The sequence below is a fragment of the Homo sapiens genome, chromosome 9 (genome assembly GCF_000001405.40).
Source record: "Homo sapiens chromosome 9, GRCh38.p14 Primary Assembly".
NCBI lineage: Eukaryota > Metazoa > Chordata > Mammalia > Primates > Hominidae > Homo > Homo sapiens.
In genome coordinates this window covers 135,526,591-135,537,320 of record NC_000009.12, presented here as the reverse complement: position 1 = coordinate 135,537,320, position 10,730 = coordinate 135,526,591, and the positions used below count along the sequence as shown (strand labels likewise).

At 50.1% G+C, this 10,730-nt stretch overlaps 1 annotated feature.

Moving 5' to 3' along the window:
• Window positions 9,657-10,310: an enhancer, noted in NCBI's record as "H3K27ac-H3K4me1 hESC enhancer chr9:138418857-138419510 (GRCh37/hg19 assembly coordinates)". NCBI's record gives its function as "activates a minimal SCP1, AML or CMV promoter by ChIP-STARR-seq in primed H9 embryonic stem cells {active_cell/tissue: H9 hESC(primed)}" and the evidence as "EXISTENCE:reporter gene assay evidence [ECO:0000049][PMID:30033119]".

Below are 10,730 nucleotides of genomic sequence, written 5' to 3'. Positions count from 1 at the left end.
TGTATGTGGTAGACAGAATAATGGTCCCCTAAAGATGTCCACATCCTCATCCCTGGCCCTATGGATGTGTGTATGGTAAAAGGGACTTTGCAGATATAATTCAGGAAGGATCTGAGATGAGCAATTAGCCTGGATTATCTGGGTGGGCCCACTGTTATCACAGGGGCCCTTATAGGAGAGAGGCTGGGGAGCGAGGGAGGGAGAGAGAGAAGGGTGGGGAGAGAGAATATTTATGAACAGAAGTAGAAGAGGCTGTGCTGCTGGCTTTGAAGGTGGAGGAGGGGCCACAAGCCAAGGCATGTGGAGGCCTCTGGAAGCTGGAAATGGCAGGGACAGATTCCTCCCCAAGAGCCTCCAGAAGGAACCAGCCCTGCCAACCTTCGTTTTAGCCCCGTGAAACATACTGAAAAGAAGAGCTGGAATGAAGCATCTGAAGTTCTCTCAGCAAAACCTGCATGCTCGGTTGTGGTTGTGGGTTTTTTGACCAACAAATGAAAGCGTTCTAAGACCCCATGCACCGTCGGCTGAAGGGGAGCGTGAATATCTGTTCCCAGTCCCAGCCTCACAACCAGAGGATGCATTTCTTCACGGTTTTCTCCTGCAGCTCAAGGAGGGAAAGCACTTGGAATTATTTGACTTCTCCCCCTCACTCAGTGGAACTTTGGAGTCGTTCTTCCCACCCTTGTCAACCACAGGGCTTTCTCATGTCTACAGGCGCGTGTGCAGATTTCTTGGGTGTGCACAGATGCAGGGAGGGCATCTCGTCGATGGAAAATGGGATACTCATGGGCACGGCATGAAGTGACACCACAATTCCCTAAATTGTTTGCTGTGGTTGCTCATTGGGACGTGGCACCCACTGGAACCAAGGCTTTGGGAAGCCAACTGGCTGCTGTGCTTGGCCACAAACGTGGTAATCATGACTGCAAGGAGAAGGGGGCGGGGGCTGCCTGACTGATCTGGGGCTTTCAGAAAGGAAATGCCAAGGTCTGAGCTTGAGTAACAGGCAAGACACTGGAGACATTCCATCCTGACCATAGAATAATATTTCATTCTTGCAGCCACAGAGCAGAAATGGCTGAAAATCAGACTCCACATTTAATAGTGTGGGTTGCATGGTGAGTTGGATTCAAAAGTCGCCAAGTGTTTTATGTGAAAGTTGGGTCACTGCTTAAGGAGTGGGACCATGACACACAGAACTGGGACATTTATGTGATCTCAGATGGAAGTGAGAATCTTGATCCCCTCCCCAATCCCCCTGAACCTGCCGGGGCAGAATCACCCCCTCCTCCCCTCCCCAATCCCCCTGAACCTGCCTGGGCAGAATCATCCCCTCCTCCTTTGCGTGAGGAGATGAGACTTCCCTTTCTCAGACATCTTACCCCGAGGCAGTTGTGTCGGGATGGATTCTAGGGGCTTTACACCAGGAGAACCGCGCTCCGATGTGGACCCAAGCTGAGTGTGTCAGTGCGTATGTGCTGAGTGTGTCAGTGCGTATGTACTGAGCACGGCAGAGCTCTCAGCATGGATCGGCTCCACCCAAGCCCCTGCACCAGGAGACAGGAGATCGCCAAGCTCTCATGGCATCCAACAGCAGGAGGCGCATCCCTGGGGTGGCCCCAGCCCCCTAAATGCTTGCCTGAGAGCTCGGCACTGCAGGTGAATTTGCTGTGTGTCCTGGCCAGCACCCAGCTGCCCCTTCTTAGAGCTTTTGCTAAAAAGGGCTTACACCTGTGACTCCTTCCTCTGCCCCTTTGAGAAGTCTATTTCTCCTACAACGCAGAACTCTTTCTCAGGCTGGGTATGGTGGCTCACATCCGTAATCCCAGCACTTTGGGAGGCCAAGGTGGGTGGATCCCTTGAGGTCGGGAGTTTGAGACCAGCCTGGCCAACATGGTGAAACCCCCCCCCCCATCTCTATTAAAAATACAAAAATTAGCCAGGTGTGGTGGCAGGTGCCTGTAATCTCAGCTACTTGCGAGGCTGGGGCAGGAGAATTGCTTGAACCTGGGAGGTGGATGAGGTTGCAGTGAGCCGAGATCGCACCACTGCACTCCAGCCTGGGTGACAGAGCAAGACTCTGTCTAAAAAAAAAAAAAGAGAGAAAAAAGAAAAGAAATCTTTCTCAAGGACCTGAGAGCCATTCCTTAGAAATGTGACCTTCAGGAAGAATGGGCCTCCTTCTTCCAGACTCTGTTGGGGGACAGAGTCCTCCTTCCATAACTGCCACACAGCTGGCCCCACTGCACTGACCCTGACCAGCACTCTGTAACTCTTCACTGGAGCCCCCACTCCCTCCCGCACCCCCAACCACTCTCCCTTCAGAACACCCCTTCTCCCCTGCACAAAGTGGCATGGAACCAGTCTGTCCCTGGCTCTGAGAAGCTGCTGAATAAAACCTGTCCTCACCGCTTTAACTAGCGTCCAGCTTGGCTCACTGGTGATGATGTATCCAAAATGCCGTATTTCACACATTGGCTTGAGCAGGAGAGCAGCTCTCAGATGGCTTCCAGGACTGGCTGAGCTGGCGTCGTGACCTCATTCACAGGGGCTGGGACACCAGAGCGGCCCCACATAACATGGAGAAAGGACTCTGCACTGCAGGTGTTTGAAGGGTTCCCAGGGTTTGCTTTAGGCTGGTGGGGGAGACACAGCCATAGGAATGACTGTGGGACGGAGGCTTATTACACTTAGGCCCCTAGAAACAGGAGGGGCGGGGCCTCACAGAAGCACCAGAGCCTGTCTGGAGGCACTGGGAGCAGGAGGAGAGTGCGGGCGGAGCCTGCACTGCGGTTCCCACGTTTCCCACGGGAAGGAACAGAGGAAGCAGGGTAAACAGGCTCAGGGCGGGCTGGTTTCAATAATGTCCCGGGCCCTGGGGTGTGGGGGCTGGCTGTCCCTAGCTGTCTGGTCCCTGCCCTGGGGAGGGTGTGGGCTCTGGACTGGTTGGTTTGCATATGGAAGCACACTTACAGATGGTACCTGCCCTGGGGAGGGTGTGGGCTCTTGACTGGTTACCGGTTTGCATATGGAAGGCACACTTACAGGCAAGTCATCTGCTATTTCTAGAAATTAGCCAACTCCAGGAGAAGCACTTCCTCCAGGGTTAGCAAGGCTCCAGATGTCAAAGTGTCCAAATTCAGAAAGTAAAGGCCGTGGTTCACACAGAAAGGGTGTCAGAGACAGGTCACGCAGTCATTTGAAGAGCAAATTCCTGTAAAGAATCCCCAACTGGTAACAGGAGAGGGGTTACCAATGGGGAAAGAGGACTCTAAAACCACAGAAATAACAGAAATGGGAGCCAGCTCTACCCCAGGGCCGAGGCTGCGCACCGGGGTAGGAACAACCTGGAAGGCGCTCAGGCCTCCCTGGAGAGGGTGTGTCTGCGGCCCCGGGGATGGCACAGAAGTTTGCTGACTTTGGGTATCCAAGAACTCACCAAAAGCCACCCACGGGGCTACTGCTGACTTCACTGGGGCTGAGCTCCACCTGGCATCCAGCTTGCCAGCCAAGCCCCTCAGGACAGAGAATGAAGAAGACCCCTGAATCCAAAGGGAAGCCCCTTCCTCCAGCGACCCCCGTGCCCTCTGTTAACAAGGCCCAACAGTGCACCAGTTACGAAGGAGAAACGTCGACAGGGTTTAGCTCCAGTCACACGCAGGATAATTAAGAGCAAATTTGAAACTGAGGGGCAACAAACCCATAGCTGGCATAGAACCCCAATGGCCAAGGAATCAGAATGTGGGGGTGCACACTCACCCACCCCATCTGCTTCCCCATTGTCAATTTCTTCTCTTTATTATTTCCTTTCTTCTACTTTCTTTAGGCACAATTTGATCATTTCTTCTTAAGGTGGAGGCTTGGGCCATTGACTTAAGCATTTATTTTTCCTACTAGAACCATTTAAAGCTATAACCATTTAAAGCTATAACCATATAAAGCTGCCACCCCTGCAGCCTTAGCTTATGTGAGATTAGAGCTTTAGGTTACCAAGAGGGAAAGCTCTGCTACCAGGAAGCACAGTGAATGCTCCAGAAAACCTGCTGTGTTGGCTCCACCAGGCCACACTGGGATCCTCATGCCTGCAGATGAGCGGGTAAAGAACGGAGTTACTGTATACTAGTGGGTATTTTATACTGATTATGTATATTGGTGGGTAGTTGACCCTGATTATGTGTATTGGTAGGTAATGATCGACCCTGTTATGTATATTGGTGAGTGGTTGACTCCGATAATGTATACTGGTGGGAAATTGACCCTGATTATGTACATCGGTGGGTAATTGACCCTGACTGTGTATATAGGTGGGTAATTGACCCTGATTATGTATCTTGGTGGGTCATTATTGAGCCTAATTATGTATATTGATGGGAAATTGACCCTGATTATATATATTGGTGGGTAATTATTGACCCTGAGCATGCATATTGGTAGGAAATTGACCCTGATTATGTATCTTGGTGGGAAATTGACCATGATTTTGTATATTGGTGGGTAATTATTGACCCTGATTCTGTATATTGTTGGGTAATTGACCCTGATTATGTATATAGGTGGGTAATTTTCCCTGATTATGTATCTTGGTGGGTAATTATTGAGCCTAATTATGCATATTGATGGGAAACTGACCCTGATTATGTATATTGGTGGGTAATTATTGACCCTGAGCATGTACATTGGTGGGAAATTGACCTCAATTATATATATTATTGGGTAATTATTGACCCTGATTGTGTATCTTGGTGGGTAATTGACCCTAATTATGTATATTGGTGAGTAGTTATTAACCCCGATTATGTTTATTGGTGAGTAATTGACCCTGATTATGTATATTGGTGGGTAATTATTGTCCCTAATTATGTATATTGTCAGGTAATTATTGAACCTGATTATGTATCTCGGTGGGTAATTGACCCTAATTATGTATCTTGGTGGGTAATTGACCCTAAATATGTATCTTGGTGGGTAATTGACCCTGATTATGTATATTGGTGGGTAATTATTGACTCTGATTATGTTTATTGGTGGGTAATTGTTGACCCTGATTATGTATATTGGTGGGTTATTGACCCTGATTATGTATCTTGGTGGGTAATTGACCCTGATTATGTATATTGGTGGGTAATTATTGACCCTAATTATGTATATTGGTGGGTAATTATTGCCCTTGATTATGTAGATTGGTGAGTAATTGACTGATTTTGTATATTGGTGGGTAATTATTGACCCTGAACATGTATAGTGTGGGATAATTATTGATCCTGATTATGTATATTGGTGGGTAATTATTGACCCTGAACATGTATAGTGGGGGATAATTATTGATCCTGATTATGTATATTGGTGGGTAATTATTGACCCTGATTATATATAGGTGGATAATTGATCCTAATCATGTATATTTGGTGAGTAATTGACCCTGATTTTGTATCTTGGTGGGTAATTACTGACCCTGATTCTGTATCTTGGTGGGTAATTGACCCTGATTATGTATCTTAGTGGGTAATTATTGACCCTGATTGTGCATATGTTGGTAATTATTGACCCTAATTATTCATATTGGTAAGTAATTAACCCTGAATGTGTACATTGGTGGGTAATTGATCCTGATTGTGTATATTGGTGGGTAATTATTAACCCCGATTATGTATGTTGGCAGGTAATTGACCCTGATTGTGTATATTGGTGGGTAGTTAACCCTGATTATTGTGAGCTGGTGAAGTGGCTGCTACTTAGGATGAGCAGAGAGGAGTGAGTCTAAAATTCAGGAGATTCAGGGGAGCACCCACAGGTGCCTCCCTGCCCAGTGGTGACCATGACAAAGCCACTACAGTGACCAGAGCCTGATGAGAGCGCTGACCCAGGACTCAGACACCTTGGAGATGAATGTGCAGCTTTCCCACTGGGCAAACAACCCAGAGGGTGAAGGGATCCCAGAAATGCAATGGCCGATGAAGCTTCAGTGACGATCCCATGGGGCTGTGTGTATCTGTGCGGCTTGAGGGGTGGGGGACAGACAGTCATGTGAGACCCCAATGGTGTGCTCCCAGATGCATCCTCCTCGTGTACACAGGCAGCTCCCGGCCGCATGCCCCATGGCCCATGACTCCTCGCTTGAAGGTTTTCTCCGGATGCTGAAGCGTGCCCAGCCCACACCAGGCAGATTGCATTGCAGGCTGGTAATGTCCCTGTTGTGGCCCTCAACCCAGCACAGCCAGATTGGAGGGCAGAGCAATCTGAGTGTGCTCTACACAGGGCCGAGGGAGACCCCACCTGAGACCCTCACCTCCTGTGTTCTCTTTATAGTGACTCTAAACACATGATGGTACCTTTTTCCAGTCAAGATAAGCTGGATACATTTTCCCGCATTGGTAGTAACCAGTGACTCTACCTGCAGAGTGGGAGACATCGGTGACTTAGGCCATTTCTTAGCTCAAGCGTGCCCTCTCCTATTGGGATTGTGAAGTGCATTTTGCTAAATGGTGAGTTCCACTTCCCATCGTGGTCTAGGAGCTCCCATCTGACCAAGCCTCCCTCAAGTAGCAATGATTAACTCTGGACAAAATGCAGAAACCACTCTCCCTGGGCAAACAGACACTGCAGGTCGGTTAGCACCTGGAAGAAGGTGACAGCACTAGATGAGTTTCCCATTCTCACTGCTTTTATCTGGAGGGCAGTCCCTGTCTGCACCACATGGAGCAGATCAAGCTCTGGTAGACACCTTGCAATTTTGCTGGCTTGAAGAACCAGAGGACAGAGTCCTAGGCAATGATAGCTGCTGGAAAGTGAAGAGAGAAATTCAAGAAAGAAGAGAGCCAAAGAGAGAGCCCCAAGTTCTAGGCAGAAACCGTCCAAATCTCAGGCTAACCCCTAAAAAATGAACACACAGGAAAGACACGAAGCAGCCCAGCAAAGCCTAGAAGAACTGACTGAAATGTGAACTGAATTGCTGTGCACCACAGAAGAGGCAGAGCTGACAGCTGGAGGTCAAATAACTTCCTGCTTCAAAACAAAAACCAGGCCAGGCGTGTTGGCTCACTTTGGGAGGCCCAGCACTTTGGGAGGCCGAGGTGGGCACATCACCTGAGGTCAGGACTTTGAGACCAGCCTGGCCAACATGGCAAAACCCCGTCTCTACTAAACATACAAAATTTAGCCAGGCCTGGTGGTGGGTGCCTGTAATCCCAGCTACTCGGGAGGCTGAGGCAGGAGAATCGTTTGAGCCCGGGAGGTGGAGCTTGCAGTGAGCTGAGATCGTGCCACTGAACTCCAGCTTGGGCGACAAGAGTGAAACTCCTTCTAAAAAAACAAAAACCAAAAACCAAAAACCAAAAACAAAAACCAGCACTCTTTGCAGAAACCTAACAAAACCCAGAGTTTATACATCATTCAAACTGTTCAGGATACAATCCAAAATTATTATACACATGAAGAAAGGAAAATGTGACCGTTCTCAAGAGGACTGACTCGGAGCCAACATGGAGGCAGCAGAGAAACAGCGACTGCAAACAGCAATCAAAGGGATATTCTAAAACTAAAGATCACAACATATGGAAGGAAAATTCACCAGATACAGCGAAGAGAAAACTTGAGACACCTCTGTCAACAGGAAGATACATAAATAGAAATAATCCAGCCCTATGAATAAAGAGAACAAATATTGAAAACAAAAAGAGCTCGAGCCCAGGAGCTCCAGGCTGTAGTGAGCTATGATTGTGCCACTGCAGTCTGGCCTGGGCAACAGAGCAAGACCCTGTCTCTTTAAAGAGAGAGAGAGAGAGAGACTCAGAGAGCTGAGAGACAATATCCAAAGGCCTAACACCCATGTAATTGAGTTCCAGATGGAGTGGAAAGCAATCATGGGCAGAAGAATCATTTGAGGAAAAAAGTTTTATGAAATTACAGATACAGAAAGCTTAGAAAACCCCATGCAGGATAAACAGAAAGAAAACACATTAGGTACATTAAAGTCAAAGTGCCAAAAACCACATTTAAAGACAGAATTTTCAAGCAACCAGAGAAAAAAGACACATTACATACAGCAGAAGCATGAGCTGACTAAGCATTGAGATCTCACTGGAAACCACATGGGCCAGAGACAGGGAAACCGCATCTGTAAAGTGCAGAAGGAAAAGAACTGCAGTCAAGAGTTCTTTTTATTTTATTTTATTTTATTTTATTTTATTTTATTTTATTTTATTTTATTTTATTTTATTTTATTTTTGAGAGAGAGTCTCACTCTGCCACCTAGGCTGGAGTGCAGCGATGTGATCTCGGCTCACTGCAACCTCCACCTCCCGGGTTCAAGCGATTCTCCTGCCTCAGCCTCCTACGTAGCTGGGATTACAAGCATGCGCCACCACGCCTGGCTAATTTTTGTATTTTTAGTACAGACAGGGTTTCACCATGTTGGCCAAGCTGAATTCCCGATCTCAGGTGATCTCCCGCCTTGGCCCCCCAAAGTGCTAGGATTACAGGCATGAGCCACCACGTCCAGCCGAGAATTCTGTGTCTGCTGAAAATATCCTTCAAGGGTAAAAGCAAAGTGAAACACATGCAGATAAAAGAAAATGGAAACAATCTGTGGGCAGCAGCCAGCAGTATAAAAAATGCTATTAGGTTGTGTTGGTGCAAAAGTAATTGGGGTTTTTGTCATTACTTTTAGTGGCCAAAGCTGCAATTACTTTTGCACCTACCTAATAAAAGCCATTCTTCAGGCTGGAGGGACGTGATCAGCATGGAGACAGGACACTCAGGATCAAAGAGCACTCAGCACGGAAGGTCTGTGGGTACAGAGAAAACTCCCTTTCTGTTCCTTTATCACATGTGGGACTGCTTCAAGCATGCTCTGCAGTGCTGTGTTGTGGCGTCTCCAGCATATATAGATGTGATGCGTGTCAGCAATGACATGAGGGAGAGCACCTGTGCCGTCACAAGGTCTGTGACATGAGGCAGAGTGGGGAGGACGCACCTGTGCCATCACAAGGTCTGTGACATGAGGCAGAGCGGGGGAACGCACCTGTGAGGTCACAAGGTCTGTGACATGAGGCATAGTGGGGAGGACGCACCTGTGAGGTCACAAGGTCTGTGACATGAGGCAGAGTGGGGAGGACGCACCTGTGAGGTCACAAGGTCTGTGACATGAGGCATAGTGGGGAGGACGCACCTGTGAGGTCACAAGGTCTGTGACATGAGGCAGAGTGGGGAGGACGCACCTGTGAGGTCACAAGGTCTGTGACATGAGGCATAGTGGGGAGGACGCACCTGTGAGGTCACAAGGTCTGTGACATGAGGCAGAGTGGGGAGGACGCACCTGTGAGGTCACAAGGTCTATGACCCGAGGCACAGTGGGGAGGACGCACCTGTGAGGTCACAAGGTCTATGACCCGAGGCATAGTGGGGAGGATGCACCTGTGAGGTCACAAGGTCTATGACCCGAGGCATAGTGGGGAGGATGCACCTGTGAGGTCACAAGGTCTATGACATGAGGCATAGTGGGGAGGACGCACCTGTGCCGTCACAAGGTCTACGGCATGAGGGAGAGCCTCGACCTCCTGGGCTCAAGCAATCCTCCCACCTCAGCCTCCCGAGTACCTGGGACTACAGGGTTGCGCCACCAAGCCTGGCTAATTTTTTTTTTTTTTTAGAGATGGGGTCTCGCTATGTTGCCCAGGCTGGTCTCCAACTCCTGGCTTCAAGTGATTCTCTCACCTCAGCCTCCCAGAGTGCTGGGAACACAGGCCTGAGCCACCATGCCTGGCCAGAATCGAGCACTGAGGCCTGGTTAGGGGCCGGCCCCTTCCTGAGCAGCTGATTGGTCCACACGGCAGCCCTGCGCTAATCAGACGGCCCCACTGGGGGGCCGCTCCCCACCAGCCCTCATTGCTCCAAAGCCAGGTACCAGACAACCAGGGACAGCCCCTAAGCCCTGGAGCAGAGAAATGACCCATGTTAGCTGGCCACAGGCAGCCGGGTCACCCGCTACACTTTCTGCTCCCTACCCTGAGCTCTGCAGGCTGTTGTCCTGTCCCAGGCTCAAGCCACCCCGTGTGGCCCTGCCTGGCAACTGCCCTCTCCTGCGGAGCAGCAAGTCACTAAGAGTCTGCCTCTCCTCGCTCCCAGCGTCACTGTGCGATGTTGCGCCATCGAAAGAAACTTTAAATCCTACAGACCGCCAGGGTCAGGAAAGGCGCCTGTGCCAGGTGGGACCTCTGGTGGCTGCCCCCAAGCTGGGAACTTGCTGTCCCAAACCTACCCAGGCACAGAGAGGGACAGCGTGGAGCCAGGCTCTGGGGGCAGTGCTGGTGTGGCTCCCCGGAGGACAGGACTGGCTTCCCCGGTGAGCTCAAGCCCGAGCCACACCCTGCCTTGAGCTGCTGTCCCCTCCCCCCACGTCCAGCCTCACGGACTCAGCATCAGTGCTGAGGGCACTGGTGGCTCTGCCCAGTCCCCTCTGGGTGGCAGCTGCGCTTGGTCCCAGGCCTTCCGGTCTTACTTGTGCAGGACCGAGGAGTGGAGCCCTGCCCCCACCCCCGCAACCCCTACAGCCTGAGCTCAGCGGGCGGCTGACCTGCAGGAAGCACCCCGGGACCTTCAGGCCCAGCCTCCAGCACACACCCCCCTGCTAGGCCCCTCCCACTGTTGGCCTGTGGCACCCACCAGGGAGAACTGGGTCCAGGCTGGTTCCCTGTCCTTCCTCCTGCTTCCCACCCAGTCCCTGCACCCAAAAG